This window comes from Homo sapiens, chromosome 11 (genome assembly GCF_000001405.40).
Source record: "Homo sapiens chromosome 11, GRCh38.p14 Primary Assembly".
NCBI classification, from domain to species: Eukaryota; Metazoa; Chordata; class Mammalia; order Primates; family Hominidae; genus Homo; species Homo sapiens.
This window is the reverse complement of record NC_000011.10, coordinates 92,216,217-92,233,270: the sequence shown is the minus strand read 5'-3', so window position 1 is coordinate 92,233,270 and position 17,054 is coordinate 92,216,217. Positions and strand designations below refer to the sequence as shown.

Below are 17,054 nucleotides of genomic sequence, written 5' to 3'. Positions count from 1 at the left end.
TTAAAAAATCTTATAAAGTAGCTGTTCACATTAGTACCAGTATAGGAGACAGCCAAAATCTAAGTTATAAACAGGTAATGAAAAATCCTCAAGGACTAACTGAACCATGTTTCTCCCTACCTCACTTGTCAACATTCCCAAGTTCTCTCTTTACTAACTGCAGTTCTTTCAGGCACTTATAATCATCAAATGCAGTTCAAAAAGAAATATATCCAACAACAAGAATATTAAAAAAGAATTTCAGTCTTCTGTATGATTAGAAACTGTTTCAGCCCAACAGTCAGGAATAAAAAGGATTTAAACTAATAAACCATTAACTGAAAAACTGAGAGAGATGTAGAGAAATGTGAATTTAAATGTAAATTCTGCCATCAGGTAAATATAATATAAAGCTAGTAGTTATAAAGAGGAAGTTACTCTAATTACTTCTAAGTTGCTAGGCCAAAAATTCCACAATAATAATTCTACCTCCCAATTGTTGTTTTTCAGAGGTACTGAGTTTTGCCTAGTGCTTTGGTGATGCTTCATAATGTTTACAAGACACCATGCGTCCACTCCATGGAAATAATCATCAATGAGAGAAGCAACATCATCCTAATCAGTTGCACAGTTAAACAAAAAAAAAAAAAAAAAAAAAAAAAACGACATCACTGAAGTCAAGAAGCACAAAATGACAAATGGTCAAGTTCCAACAGCTAAAAAGATCCAAGACATTATGAGCTTTTAATGAGTGAAACATGCCATGAGAAAGAGACCTTCTGTCAATAAATCCAAATCCTTGTTCACTAATTAAACCATCTTATACAGTGTCTGAATATGTAGACACCAGACTTCAACATTTCTTAATTATATTCAATTCCAGGCATATTTTTCCATTTAATTGACATTCTGAAATGCCTTTACAGTCCTATCAGATAGGTACCAAATTCTCAAGAGAGATTACCACACACTTCTGAATTCTTATTCATTTGATTGAAACTGTTATTAGCAAAGGTTTTTTTTTTAAGTGGAAAGTGTGGGAAAGATTCACACCCCATTCTATCCATAACATGGGCGATGTTAAAGTCATCTGCATTTGGCCCACTTTCATGTGTACATTTCTTTGCAGTGAAGTTCTCCATAGCCAGGCCAATCTGAGAAAACCCTAGCTGCAAAATCCACCCTAGCATGGGACGGTACCACATGAATCACATAACACACTGCTCACCCAATCACAACAGCAACTGCTATCATTAAGCCACCACTTAGAACCAACAGAGAATTTCAAACCACAATCAAAAATAGATTTCAGAGGTCCAAAATATTGATCACATAGACTTAAAAAATCAACAAAATGTCATGTGTGATAAATGCTCTAGGTTTCAAAAAAGACCAAGCTGATCCTGCTACCAAGATATAGCCTCATTTTGCTTTGAAAGAAAACACACACAGACTTACATAGAATTTATCTGACAAAAAAAAAAAACCCTGATATTTATACTGTCATTAAGCACATTTGTCACTAAATTTAATCTGTGTCATCTGGCATACTCTTAGATGTTTACAATTATCAAATAATGTTCAATGATATTTAGTAGCATTAATAATTTGGGGCTTATCTCAAAATATAAAACATCAATAGCTGCTCCAGAGTGCTCACTTTTTGACCTTCCATGGTACTGAAAAGGCTACAATTTTTTTCAGATTGTTTGGAATTTAATTTAGTTGAAGTCCTGAAGTTACAATTAAACTTCCACTTAACCTTTCATAACTGTGCCTCATTCAACAGCTGGGCTTATCTCCAACATCTCAAAAAAGAAAAGAAAGAAAGAATTAACTGAAATATTATTTGCAACTGCTCTGAAAAGTACAAGTAGGATCAAGTCATAGAGAACGTCCAAGGTAAAAGTCTGCCTTTTCACTCACATTCTGGAAGCTAATGTTACTTTGTAAGCCATTTTTTACAAATTTTTTTAAGGTAAAAAACCAAGCAACAGATCTAAATGATGAATACCTAAAGGACAGAACACTCTGAGGTGTTCTGTGACAAAGTTAACCTTGAGATTCATAACTGAGTCTCAAACATAGGAAAACAGAGGACTAAGAATACACCATGTGCACCTGCATGCAGGCTCCCAGACACATTCAAAAATCCTAAAAGTTACCTTTGAAATTGGGGGGTGGGAGACCACAAGGGGATAGTGGAGAAAGGACATGAATAAATTCTGAAGTCTTCTCAAAATATTAACTAACATTCCGACAGCCCATTTGGGCTGCCCCATGAATACGTTCTTCCAAAAAGGAGCTCTGCACTGCCCCCTGACAAATGAAGGAATTAATTTATTTCATAGTGCCTTGCATACATTAGGGCTGTAGTAAGAATTATTAAATGGAATTATATTCACTTTAATAACTTACACTCCTCTTAAAAGTTTACTCCACCTCACATTAATCTCTCCCTCCTCCTTGAGGCTCCTGTTCATAGACATTCTTTTGTCAATTAATAAACATTTTTAGATGTGACTTCTAGTGTACACACACAGGCATCTCTCATTTTCTCAATAAACAGCACGAAGCAGAAGCAATGGATATATTTTACTATTCTTTGAATCTTGCCCACTGTCTTGTGAAAGAGGTAGATTCAGTAAATATCGCTGAAAAGAACTTTAAAATAATTTTTTTAAAAAATAAATAACAGGGCTGAGGACGGTGGCTCATGCCTCTAATCCGAGCACTTTGGGAGGCCGAGGTGGGTGGATCACTTGAGGCCAGGAGTTCGAGACCAGCCTGGCCAACATGGTGAAACACCCTGTCTACTAAAAATATAAAAATTAAGAGGGCATGGTGGTGTGCGCCTGTAATCCCAGTTACTCGGGAGACTGAGGCATGAGAATCACTTGAACCCAGGAGGCGGAGGTTGCAGTGAGCCAAGAACACGCCACTGCACTCCAGCCTGGGCAATGGAGCGAGACTCTGTTTCTAAATAAATAAATAACAAAAATAAAATAGGGAAAATAGAGGAGAAAGCAAGACATTTTTTAAAGACAAAAAATTATTTTAAATTCCATGTGACTTTACAGAATTTTAAAAAGGGATATATTTCAGATGTACAAAGGCAAAAGTTAAAGAAACAACTTTCCTTTATTAAAGAGTCTATAATTCACAGTTTTGGAACCCTGGAAGAGCAGAACGTTGAAATACTAACAACTGCTCAAGGACTCCTCTCAGGGTCCTCTGTATGACTTTTCCGCCCACGGTAGGCAACACCTTCAATAATGCATTGTTCAAGGAAGGACAATGCTGTGGCCCTCCTCACACCTCCTCTAGGCTCTCCACATTCATATATATCTATCTGGTGAAGGAAGTAATATTTTGTTTATGTGAAGAGTTTAATTGATTAAGTTCTGAAATCTGTTTTCTATTTTCTATCATCATGCCAGTTAATCCATTCTCAAATTTTCATCCCTTCCACTTAGCAGAAAAAAAAAAAAAAAAAGAAAAAAAATCTAAGTCCTGGAATATGCTAAAATTAAGACTAACCTGAAAATGCCATTCCAATTCAGAACTGCTAGAATGGGTCATTTGTCACTATTACATGTAACTGATAGCCTATTTTGGTAGACCAGAAACTGGCTTGAAGCCACTAGACAAGTGTCAAATATGTTCTCAATAAATGCAGTCTGTGTCATTAAGCTGAATTTCTTTTTCAAGGAAAGGCAGTCTTTCCTGAAAATTATTCTTAGAAATTTGGAGAAAGGGAGGCAATGTAAAAAAAAACAAAAAACAAAAAAAAAAAAAACACGAAAAAACAAAAAAAGAAAACAAGGAAAGGAATAAAGCTTATTAAAGGAGTAGATACCCTGCAATTGACAGAAAACTCAGTAAGTTTGAGAAGCCTGTAGAATTAAATCGACCAAAACACAGAAAAGATATTTACTCTCTGAGTCTTCCCAGAGAAAGTTGTCACACTGTGGTGATCCTCAAGAGGTCAGGATATATTAAAAAACAAAGACCCACTCCTCACAATTTGGGTAGAAAGATGATGAAAATGACATATTCAACAGTTAGAGATCAAAAAAGCATTGCAGAAAATTTCACCAATAAGTAAAACTGCATACACAGGAGTTGTGCTTCCTTTAATATTTTTAAGACCATGCATATCTGTAGAAATCAGAGGCTCTGCTAACTCTAGGAAGGAATTGGGCAGAACACAAATCCTTCACTCTAAGTCTGTCAGATCCCTTTCTTTTAAATTTCCATTCCAATTCTAATGTTTGCCACAATCAGCAAAGAAGTGGTTCATCAATAGTCCTTCTTCAGCAATCAAAGGAAATCAATTCAAATGGACAGGCCCACCTGCTCCCATCAGATGATTCCCTACTCAAGGCTCCTGCAGAAGGAAAAAAAAGAAAAACCTGGGGATGACCCCACAATGGAAAAAAAAATCAAATATCCTCATTACTATCTTTCTCCTTCTTGCCCTAGAGGAAAAAGCCAACCCACCAGGCAACTGGACAGATGTGGGCTATGAAGGAATGCCATACCCCAATGCCACAACTGGTAAAATAAAGCCACAATAGTCCTTTATGCTTTGTGAGCTATTAATATAGCATAACAACGCAACAGCCACCAGGAGCACTCCTCAGACCTGCTGGTAATGACTAAATACCCTCTCCTGCCTGGTAATTGCCTACTTCTTTCTATTTGACATAATTCATCAGCCAGATTAGCTAAGGTCATTCAGGATCGTATGAAGAAGAAAGCAGGGATGATAACATAACCTGACACATCAAAATGTTCTTCTGTGAGCAGCCTGAAGAGCCATAGCTTTACAAAGGCTGTGGGCTAGCAAAATAACCGTATAGCATACAGGTCAGTGGGTATCCACTGTTTATTGCTACTCATTTCATTTTTGAGTAGCTCAGCACAACTGTAATTGCTAGTTAACAGACAGACTGGGTCCTATTAAAAAAATCCCCAAAATGACTCCGCCAGAGACCAGAATAAATAAAATTTGAAAGAAAGATTTCTAAAAGGCTTGAGAGCCAGTCGCTGGTCAACAAACCCTGGCTGTGAAAATCCTGCAGCCACAAGAGATGGAGCCAGCCCAGCAGCTGACTGATTTCTGATCTCTGAGCCAGCTGCCTTTCATGTGGAGTTCTCTGTGTGATTCAGATGATATGAAGACATTATAACTGGACAGTTCTGGGAACTTTCTCATCCCAGTGCACTGTGCACAGAAACTGGCCCCAGCATCACTCATTGTTCAAGTTCCAAAAAGGCAACAACTGAGATTCATGATTGAATATCAACATTCGGTTTAATTCTAAGAGACAACTTTTCTCCTTGTAAAATGTTAAAAAAAAAATAAAAAAAACTTCCCCCACTCCAACCCTATTAAATAAGAAGCACATCAAAGTGCTAAAGTTATTATGCTTTTTTTTTGTCTTTGTCTCTTAGAGCCCTGGTTTCCTTGGCTGTTCCTTATTCTCTCACTGTTCAATTGCTCCAATTTAGGAATAAAGAAAAAAAAAAAAAAGAAGAAGAAAGAAAAAAAGCAGAAGCAGTTGGCTTTGTGCAATTTCTAGGATTCTGAAGAATCTCAGTCTCTCAAATCTCTTCTCTCTTCTCTCCTCCATCCCCTCCTCCCTTCCTTTCCTTCTCAGATTCAAATCTCCACGTCACACCAGAACATCATTCAAGCATTCAGTAAATGTGAAGAGAAGTTCAGTGTCTGCTGGTGGAGAAGAAATCTGGGCTCTGTTTGATCGATACTGAGATGTGGGCACCTCGGTCCTCAATTCCTAGATGGCGGGCTTCCCCTTTCCACCACCTGAGTTTGCCGCCTGGATCCAGGCAAAGTCGTCTGCAGTCTTTCTGGCCGCTTCTCTGTCTCTCTGCTTTTATTTTAACTTAGCCTGGGCACAATCAGAGAATCTAATCCTAGCAACAAAGCCAGGAGCACAAATCCACCGTGATGAACTGGTAGGCCTGCTCCCCCGCCCCTTCCTCCCACTACCCCGGACTCGCCTTTGAAAAGACTAGCGTCGGGGCCAGAAAATTAATATGTCCGAGGCAAGTGGGAGAAAAGCGGCAGAAAACAAGTGGCCACGAGTGGTTTGGGTTTTGTTGCTGTTCATGTGTATCTTTTAAACATTAAGGACCCACGCACAGGAACCCCAGCCGCTCAAGCCCCGGGTGGGCGCGTCGCACCTCCCCAGGCACTGCCCAGACAGCTCGCCCCCTCCCCCTGGGCGCCCTCCCTAGTCTGGCTGGGGCCGGGGCGGGTTGGGGGAGGTTCTCGCGGGTTTGTCTGACACTTGTAAATGGAAGTGGGATCCAACTTGGAAAACAAACGCGCCAGAGTCTGGGGGCGGAGAGGAGCGGGAGGAGGGGAGAGGGGGGAAAAAGACTTCAATCATTACCGCGGTCCCAGCGTCCCTCCCTCCCGCCGCGGCTGCTGCAGGTTCGCCCAAACCCGAAGCTGAGTCCCATTGGGCGCGCGGCGGCGGCGGGATGGAGCTGGAGCTCCCGGCCGAGGCGCTAGGAGTCCACCAGATTCCGCGTGCCAGAGCCACCGGCCGCCCACGCTCCGGGCCGCAGGCGCCACTCCCTCCCGGGAGCCCCTCCTAGTCCTTCACGGAGACCTCGCAGGGTCTCCGCAGCCTCCCCGCCCCCGACGTCCATTCCGGGGACCCCTCTCCACCGCCTGGTTTGAGCCCATTATTCCAGCGAGCTGCAGCCTCAGGATGTCACCGCCAGCACACCCACACCCCGGGAGCACCCCTGTTCCTCTCATCCCGAGCAACCCAAGCGGCTCTCTTAGCTCGCAGCCAAACTCCGGCCACCCCTGCATCCTTGCCCCAAGCACGCCCCCGCCACCCCCCGCCCACAAGAGGAGAACGGTGGAAAGTGAATAAAAGTTGCTTTCCGCAAAGCCCAATCATGTTCAATGTTAAACCATCTCGGAAAGCACATGTGACAAAAGTCAACGAGAGAGGAGAGGAGGGAATTCAGATCACAGCACAGCTAAAAATATCCGGGCTCGCCATCATGCAAGCCGGGGGGCCAGATGCACTTTAGCTCAGCGACTCCCACTGGCGGAATCCTCGCGCTCACCGCGCGCCGCGCCAAGATGGTCCAGGCCACCTCTACTGCCTCCCCGCCAGCGCCCCTCAGCCCCCTACACTTGCCCTGCACACACACTGGCCTGTAGAGGGGATTCGTCCCGAACCGCCCGGGAGTGGGGCCTGAGCTCGGAGCTGGTGCCCCTGGCGTTCTCGCCCCCAATCCGGAGACAGCTCCTCCGCACTCCTGGGGATGGTCAGACCCGCGCTGCTTTCTTTTCAAAGACAAGCAGCCTTCCCACACGCCCGCCAAAAATCATGCACTCTCGCAAAGCATTCCGGTTCCCTCTCCTTGTCAAGATAGCAGGGACAGTCTCTGTCCCCAACCACTCCGTAAAGGATGTCGTCCCCAGTCGAAGAGCCGCCGCCGCCGTTCACTACATCTCACCCTGACCACAAGCCCCGCAAGCCCGAGTCAGGCGTGGGGAACGGACCCGCAGACTGGTAACCCTTTCCCTTTCCTAGCGAAAGTGGAGGCTGGGCTCCCTCTCTGCGCCGCGCCTCGCCTAGCGATGACCCAACTTGCACCTCGGGGTCCCCTAAGTGCATCATCCATCGGCATCTGAACATCCCCCACTGCGCCCGAGAGGCACCGGCTGCCAAGCAGGCTCGCCACCTGAACCTTCTCATCCACCTGCAGGGGCGGCTGGGAGCCGGGGATGGGTGCACTGATCCGCAACCCCCCTCGCAACCCCTCCCCAGATCCTCAGCCCCAAACTTGGCCAACTCTCCGTGTAAACCTCCCGGCTCCCGCCGCGGGGCCAAGCCACCCTCTTCTCCTGTTTGCAGCGGTAGCAACGGCGGCTCGGGGCTGCGCGGAGGTTGGAACTTTACAAGGTGAAAAGTTTCCCCCACGCGCTTCGTCGGCTCTCGCCTCCCCAGCCCACCTCGCAGCCCATTTGCACCCAGCAGCTGAGGCTGTGCTCCGGCAGGCGCGCTCCAGTCGGTGCACCAGGCAGCCAAATCATCACGCTACAAATCCCCACGCACCCTTGCCTCCGCTGGCGATCCACGGCTCTACGAGGCGCCTCCCCCGTGGTCTTCTTCACCCGGTGCTCGGCGCTCTTGCTCCGGGCGAGCCGGTCCCCCGGCTGCTGCCGCCGCAGCGCCCACCGCGCGCTAGCCGGGACTGAGGCCGCGAGCAGAAGCGCTCTGCGCTCGGGACGCCGCCGCCGCCGCCGCCGGGGGTTCGCAAGCGGAGGAGGGGAGCCGAGATGAAGAGAACAGCAGCGGGAGGAGAGGGACGGGAGGCGCGAGATCCCAATCCGCAGGCCAGTTCACAGCGCAGCCTGCGGGGAGGAGCGCCGGCTCTCCTGTCTGCTCCGAGCTGCAGCCGCCGCCGCTACTGCTCGCCGCCTGGCTGCTCCGGGCTCCCCATCACAGCCGACGCCGACGCACGGCCAAGCCCCTCTCCAGTCTCCCCCTCGCGCTTGTCTCTCGCAGTCTCCTCCTCCCAAACCGCGAGCGAAAAGGGCGAGGGGGAGAGGAGCCTCGGCGGCGGGGATGACTAGCGATCTAGGAGCGTGGCGCAGGGGAGAGGGGGCGCGCGGGAGGGGGCGGCGGAGGAGGCGCGGCGAACTGGAGGGCATTCCCGGCGCCGGGCCTGGAAGCGGCTAATTTTAGAGCTCGAGTCTTCCCTCAGCCCTCTGGGGCTCTAGGATGACACCAACGTACTTTCCTGCCGCGGGGAGAGCGTGGTGCTTGCTGGCTTGGGAGAGCTTTCGCACAGTGCATTGAGTCTCACCCGCACCACATCCCTGTGAAGACAGAGAACGCGTTACTCTCCTGGGACAAAGAGGAAACTGAGGCACATCGAGGTTAACATGGTTTATATAACGTCCCAAGGCTAGTTTGTAGTGTGAAGATTAAACCATCAAATGTCGTGCCTCTGGACTAAAAATGTGCCTCCCAGTGAGGGCTCCTACGACTTTCCTAAACATTGAGATCCTGGGGTCATCCGATTGCCTTGTGGAGGAGGGAACTAGACTAAGCAGCTAACGTGGTCCAATCTCTTCACTCTTCCTCTGCCCCCAATATGTTTTAAACATTTTTTTGTCTTAATGGAGGACAGGGACTCTGAAGGGGTGGATGATTGATTTGGAGCTTGATGATTGCATCTCCACCCTGTCAGCCCTCCTGGTCACTTCTGCAGCACCCACCCAAGTCCTAGGACCCCCTGACTGCACGCCCTCCGTTCTCACACTGCCCCGGTGGAGAGGGGACTCCACTCGTTCCCTGCTCTGTGTATCCTCACACTTTTGCCTTTCTTTTCCCCCCAGCAAAGAAGCAGCCTTAACCCTCTCCACTCGCCACCTACACACACACACACACACACACACACACACACACACACACACAGAGAGAGAGAGAGAGAGAGAGAGGAGAGAGAGAGCTCAACTCACATATGTCTCTAAGGCAAGCACAGCTGGCGCATTTCCTCCTATGCTCTCTATCGGGAACTTTCTCCCCAACTCTACCATTGGCACCAGGAGAAAGGGACCCCAGGACTGCAGATCTCTTCCCCAGAGGAAATCGTTACTTTTTTTTGAAACACGAAATTCTCTTTGGAGGGCGAAGTAGGGCTGCTTCTAGAGGGCTATGTGCTCAATCACTAGAGCAAGCGCTTTAAAATGCCGATTGAGTTTACCTTTCTGGCCTTCGCGCTCCCAGCCTGGGACCTCTGCCCTGTTCACAGTTACACAAAGGCCTCGCCACGCCCCACGGGTGGAAAGTTCCCCTTGAAAGCCTCCAGCAGCCTCGCTGCCTTGACTGCCACATAAAGCACCCGGCATGCTCTGGTCATTCCGCCCTGAGATTTTAATGTGAATACTAAGGAACGGTGACAGCTCCTCATACATCAGCTAATTCGGGGGTAATAAGCATGATGTTACCAAGGGCTTCATTGTCACGGAAGGCCAGAAGATAGGTCTGGAGTGAAGGAAACCACTAACAGAGCTAGGAAAACTTACCTGCTCTCCAAAATGTTAGCATCTGATTAATTTTATTCTGATTTTAGTTTTATTCAGCAACTTTCTAAGGCACTAAAAGTTTATTGTCATATAAATATGTCCCTGGCATGGCATTTTCCTTGTGACAGAATGCAGCTAACTTTGCATCAAAGGTTTTAAAGAATCAAGGTATTTCCCACCTGAGTGCCTGGCTCCTGCAACCAGGCACTTTGGGTAGAGTCGGCTGGTGGTGGTTTGGCCACTGGGATGCTCAAGGAAGGAGTGCTGGCAAGGAGGCCAGGCATCTTCTACCTTCTGCCTGGGAAGACTGCCAGGTGATTGGAGGAGTGGCCACTTCTGCTGCTGGTGTAGCTCCTGGATTTCAGCTTCCCCAAATGTTCTTTAATGCCTCAGAGGTGCCTTAGAGATAAGTAGAGAAATCTGTCTAAATTTCAGCCTCCCCATCCCTAGGCAGTACATACATAATAAAGTAAACAGTCTCTACTCCCAGGGCTGACATAAGCCATTATAGCCTGTGGGTAAGAGACTTCCTGCAAAAATAGTAGAGTGGTTTATCTAATGGGACACTCCTCTGGTCATTTTAGATTTGCATAGCATTTACTATTCATTGTGCTAATAATTCTGATTGTATAAGGGGACTGTATTTTTTTTTTTAAAGTGCCAGCCAGACACAGTGGCTCATGCCTGGAATCCTAGCACTTTGGGAGGCCAAGTCTGGATGACCACTTGGGGTCAGGAGTTCAAGACCAGCCTAGGCAACATATCAAGACTCCACCTCCTCAAAAATTAAAATTAGGCCAGTGTAGTGTCTACATATAGTGTCTCATGTCTTTAGACTCAGCTACTTGGGAGGCTGAAGCAGGAGAATCACTTGAGCCCAGGAGTTTCAGGTTACAGTGAGCTATGATTGCCGCATTACACTCCAGCATGGCTGATGGATTAAGACTCTTTCTTTAAAAAAAGGTGATGTGGCTCGGGGGAGGGGTGCCACTGTGTCACTACAGTGGAAGGCATAGAGTTGATAAAACAGTGAGCTTTATGAAAGTCAAGAATCTGTCATATTTACATTTCTATCCCTGCATAAAGCCTGGCACACTCAATAAATATTAGTACATATTCAATAAATATTCAAATAATTAACAAATGGTGAAAACTTGGGAATTTTTTTATCAGACCCAATGATTATTGTATGTAGGACATTGAAGTCCTCATAGGAAAGGAACCTATAAAAAATTGCAGATCTATAATAAAATCATATTACTTGCCATGTATCACAGCCTCCATACACCACTTCAGATCATCTGGGCCTTACCTGTTGCTTTTAGCCACCACAGGAACAGCCAGTTCTAAGTGGGCTCTAACCAGCTTCACACAGGTATAATCTGAAAGTGCTTTGCTCTGGGCTCCCCTTGCATCTTACCCCCACCCAGGGCTTTTTAGTTGAAGTTACAATGTGAACCAAAACCTAGAAGCATGAGAGATTAAAGAGCCTATGGTGGGAGCCCATGGATAAATACTCCTCTTTCCATCTGCAAGGAAAGGATTCAGAAATGTGTTCCATGGAGCTTCTCTGGTGGTCTTTGCTAAACAAAGCAGCCATTCTCCTGAAGCAATGGCCAGCTTGATAACACATCCTTGTACTGGCGCTCCATCCTTCCCTGGTTCTCCCCATCTGTTCCTCACATGCTTCCTGGGATCACACTTCCCAAATAAAATATTTTCAGCAAGTCCTTGTATCATGCTCTATTTTCTGGCAATCTCAGGCTAAAACACCTACGACTAATGCTAAATACTTACGTCAAGGGACGGCCAAATGATTTTTCAAACTGCCCTATGAGGATTTTACTTTTAAACAAACGTGTACCCAAGGACACCTGTGTTGGGGACCTGTTGTACAACTAGAAGTTTTCTGAATCAATTTCAACTTAGACTGCAAGGTTTATTAAAAAGTAAGTAATTAAAATATGCTAATTTTGAATTTACATATATGTAATTAAAACTCAAAACAGTAACTACAGGAATTTTTTAGAACTTAGACCAAAATGATCTTGTTACAGAGGAATATTTTATCACTGACATTTTTTAGAATTGCAACTACAAAGTAATACTAAAAAAAAAGACTGATTTTCTTTTTAAATTCTCTACAGATAGTGCTCCCACCCACCCGTTTGCCTGCTTGCTGTGCAGATCTCTCCTACTGGCCCACCCTTGGTATACCACTAATTGTACTTGCAGGTGGCCTTCTTTGCCACTCAACTATCCTAAGGCTGATCAATTTCAATCCCTCTTATTTTGGAACAGCAACCAAACCAAACTTGGACACACTGAGGTACTCTATTTTCGGCAAGCAAATTGTCCTACTAACTGTCTTTATCCTTTGGGAAACTCCTTCTATGCCCCTGTTTTGGCTACTGCTTTCTTCTCTTTGGCTAGACAGAGAATAAACGTAATGTCAGAGACTCATTTTTAACACATCTATAATTCTATGTTCTTTAGGCCACTCCTTTTTCTCTTTCTTACTCATTTGTTCATTCACTCACCCATTCATCTGTTCAAAAATTATTTTTGAGCAGCTGTGTACTTGGCTCTCTTTTAAGTGTCGGGGATGTAATGATTAGCAAAAACTGATGAGATATCTACCCTTATAGATCTTTGGGCCAGTGGAGAAGTCATTAATCAAATGATCAAACAAAGAAAAGCAAAAGTGAGAAGGGCTACAACTGCATGATTCAAGTGGTTTAGTTAGCACCACTGCCGTTCCAATGAGGGGGAATTTTTATTCATCTCTCTAATTTATTTACAAGCTAAAGTTCAACACGAACAATGACTAATGAGCATAAAGGATATTTAGTGTTACACCTGTTATATGTTTTGACATAATGTTATAAATAAGGGCAAATGTTATCAAGTACCAAGTTATTAATAGTACCAGGATCCCACTTTATCATCTTTAGCAAAATTTTCATCCACCCTCTTGGCCTCTGATTAAACCTGCTTTTCTTCAAGTGTCTAGAGGATGGAATATTAGAGTTTTTCATTCAAAACCTCTGTTTTAATCTTACATGTAATTTATGATTTCTTATTGGTGTCCCTATATTTTAGTACAATAGATATATTATGAATGAGATATGCTTATGTACTTTGATTGCCATTTATAACATATTTCTGGAACAAAAGCCTTCCATGTTTAAAATAACTGGCTTACAGACTTTTGAAACATGACTTGTTTGCAAATGAAGATGTTTCTTTACCAATCAAAGGGGAAGTTGTAATGTAATCTAAAAGTGAGGTGATAATTTATTATAGGTGTATTAGTCCATTTTCACACTGCTATAGGGAACTGACTGAGACTGGATAATTTATAAAGGGAAGAGGCTTAATTGACTCACATTTCTGCAAGGCTGGGAAGACCTCAGGGAACTTATAATCGTGGCAGAAGGCAAGCGGAAGCAAGGCATGTTCTTCATAAGGCAGCAGGAGGGAGAATGAATGCAGAAGGAAATGCCAAACACTTGAAAAACTCAGATCTCGTGAGAACTCACTATCACAAGAACAGCAGGGGGAAACTGCCCCCATGATCCAATTACCTCCACCTCATCTCTCCTTTGACATGTGGGGATTATAGGGAGTATAAATCAGATGAGACTTGGGTGGGGACACAAAACCTAACCGTATCAATAGGTACCATGAAGTCTTAGAGTTAGAAAAGAAGATAAAGCTTATCTATCTATTTCACTGCCTTTTGATTTGCCTACATCATAGCTGCTATTTCTTTTCCCTAGTTACTTCTCTAGTCCACTTCCAAAAATAATCTAGGTGTAGAATGAAGACTTTTGTCTACTTGCTAAAAGGAAAAAATACACAATCTTCTTCCTTATTCGTTGACTAAAGGAGAAAAGAAAAATTAGAAAGAAATACATCTAAACTAAGGAGCCCCAAAACCAAAGAGAGGGAAAAAAGCCTTACCAAAATGTTGGTGAGTAAATTATAGCAGTTTGTTTTTTATCTGATCTTAATTAAAGTAGGGAAGTACTATTAAGAATAAATGTTGGCATGTTGCCTCAAATTAAGGAAGATCAACATCCTTTTCATTTTGAATTCATGAAAAGGGCTATTTACTCTTATTTTTGAATACTTTGGCTAAACGAGTTAATACCCATTTCATTTCACCAGGGCAAATGTTAGCCATGAATGTTAATGTAATTTTCCAAAAGTGAATTGTATCAAACTATTTGCATAACAAAAAATCACTGTGAACAAGTACCTTGCTGCCTGCAGTTGTGTTGTCAAAAAGAAACTGCAAAAACATCATCTATTTTCCTTTCTTTTCTTTCTTTCTTTTTCTTTTCTCTCTCTCTTTCTCTCTCTTTCTTTCTTTCTTCTTCTTCTTTTTTTTTTTTCTTTTTTTTTTTGACAGAGTCTCACCCTGTTCACCAGGCTGGAGTGCAGTGGTGCAATCACAGCTCACTGCAACCTCCGCCTCTCAGGTTCAAGCAAATCCCCTTCCTCAGCCTCCTGAGTAGCGGGGATTGCCGGCATGTGCCATCATGCCTGGCTCATTTTTGTATTTTTAGTAGAGATGGGGTTTTGCCATGTTGGCTAAGCTGGTCTGGAAATTCCGACCTCAGGTGATCTGCCCACCTTGGCCTCCCAAAGTGTGAGATTACAGGCTTGAGTCACCGCACCTGGCCCTCATCGTCTTCTTTCAAATCTGGTAACTTTGTTCACCTGTAAATAATTAGTTATCAAATATGGTTGACTTTCAGTAAAGTGAAACAACTACTGATTAGGAGGAAGTAGTGGGTTCAAGGAGTTGATAATAGGATTCAGTTTTTTCCCCTTCAACATTTGCTCTTCCAAATTTGAATCAGATTTTTGGTGATTAATAGCTCTTTTCCTCTGGTACTGTTTTAGGAGTCAGTTTGAAACAACGTACTTTTCTTAGTACATTTTCCACTGGGGGAGTCATTAGTATTAATGGAGCGCTGACATCATTCATACACTGAAACCCACTATGTGCCTAGTGGCCAGTGTTGGGCAGCTTTGTGGTATAAATGGTTCTTGACATCAAGAAGCTTACCCACGAACGGAGCACTGCACTTGGGCTTAGGAACACTGGCTCTAAGGGATGTCAATAATCTCTTCAACCATACTACCTTTATTTTCCGTTCTTTGCTACCCTGCAGGCCTAGGAAATTTTCTGGTGACTGCCAGTCTGGGTCTAGTTTCTGTGTTCTCCCTGGCAATTGGTCTTTACCTCTGTGATATCACTTCTCACACAGCTTCATCCTCATCTTTTATCTGTTTTTGTGTCTCCAGTGACTAGGAGCCTCTTTGGGATAAAGGCTGATCTTTTATCTCTGTATTACCAAGGTAAGCTTCACGTGTTGAGTGCTCAACAAACTATTTTTTTGTTGAATGAATAAATATATTAGCCAACCTTATATATTTGGATTTTCAAGAGATCAGAGAGAATGAGGTTATCATACATCTACACTGTCTTAAATTTCTCAAGAGTGAAGCCTAAATCAGTGATTCTCAAAATGTAGTGCCTGGACCAGCAACATCTGCATCAATTTGTAACTTGTTAGAAATGCAAATTCCCAGGCCCCAGACTTAGTGATGCAGACATTCTGGGGGTGCAGCCCAGCAATTTGCATTTCAACAAGCTCTCCTGGTGATTCTGATACATGCTAAAATTTGAGAACCACTGACCTAGATCTTCCCACTCCTTACATGCACACACTGCTCACAGTTCAGTGTAAACCCAGGTGCACCCTGATCCCATGTCTTCAAAAATGGAAGTACCATACTTCTTTAACCCAACTTTTAAATCTATGCAAAGAAAGTCATTAGTTAACCTACTTTGGCAAAAACTCCAAATTATCCTCATTGCTCCCCGATGGTGAGGTGTTTGGGATTGAATTCCCAAATAATTGCTTCAATTAGCCAATTTATTTCACTTAGGTAGGCACAGCTGGAGGTAATAGCATCCACTGTATCCTAAAGGTGTTCCAGCCTCTTCCCCTCAGGTTGAAGCCAACTACAGACCTGCTGAGGAGGGGGAATTAACCACTTGGCGAGAGAATAGAGCCAGTATCTGCACCTATTTGGCCACGTTAACAATTTTCTTTCTTCTACATCCTGGTTCTTTTGATCTTATGCTACTAAGGTCTGGCCTGTGAGTCATAGAAGGAAGTGCTTTCCCATATAGTCAAGCACACTTGGGGAGCATCTCCCCATAGTTGGAATCATAATAGAAGAAGGGAAGTAACTGGAGGAAGTTCAGCTGTCTATTGTCTCAGCTGCTTTGATTTTCCTGTTAAGTGGCATTTTGCATGAATGTGAACTGAAATTGAAGTTTGTGCACCTTTTGAATGTTATTGCCATCATAGTCACGGGGACACACTTTATTTCTGAAAACCTGGGATGAGAATTTTGAGGCAAGTAATTACAAGCAATCCTTGTTGGTATTAAGAAATAATCAGATTATTTACAAGGATTACACATCTTGAAAAATAAAAGAATGCTTCAGGAGCTAGTGACATAGAAAGTATTTTCATTTTCTTCAAGTTGCGCCTAAAAGCAGTAACTTTTTTTTTTTTAGCCATGCTTCAAGTATACTTTCTGTTAAATATTTGAAACCTGGTACCAATAACTTTTTGTTTGCCTTTAAGACAAAATTGACTCACTTGATAGAGTCTTCTCTCTTTCAGAGTTGGAAGGTTTAGGTGAAGAAATGTCTGAAGAAAATTTCATTTCTCAGCACATATTTCTGAGCCTGTTTGGGAGTGACAGTAATGGCATTATAAGGTATTGAAGCGGTGTTCCTGGAAGCTAGTAGAGAGGTCAGAGCAGTGTGAAAATTTCCAGCAAATCTGTCAAGCATCCTGCAGCTCTGGAACATAGCACAGAGTGTTTTCATTAGTGGTCAGAGTCAAGGAAGGTGGTCAAGTCCCAATACTGACATTTAGAGATC

At 44.0% G+C, this 17,054-nt stretch overlaps 1 protein-coding gene across 9 annotated transcripts in view, besides 1 other annotated feature; it reads right to left on the bottom strand.

The window, feature by feature from the left end:
* Nucleotides 1-8,453, bottom strand: part of FAT3 (FAT atypical cadherin 3) — a 671,656-nt gene extending 663,203 nt beyond the window's left edge. For all 9 annotated transcript variants that reach the window (XM_017017179.3, XM_017017178.3, XM_017017180.2 and 6 more), the window contains exon 1: nt 8,097-8,453. The gene's annotated coding sequence lies outside the window, so the exon portion shown is untranslated. The remainder of the gene's footprint in view (nt 1-8,096) is intronic.
* Nucleotides 6,037-6,894: an enhancer, noted in NCBI's record as "H3K4me1 hESC enhancer chr11:91959543-91960400 (GRCh37/hg19 assembly coordinates)". NCBI's record gives its function as "activates a minimal SCP1, AML or CMV promoter by ChIP-STARR-seq in naive H9 embryonic stem cells {active_cell/tissue: H9 hESC(naive)}" and the evidence as "EXISTENCE:reporter gene assay evidence [ECO:0000049][PMID:30033119]".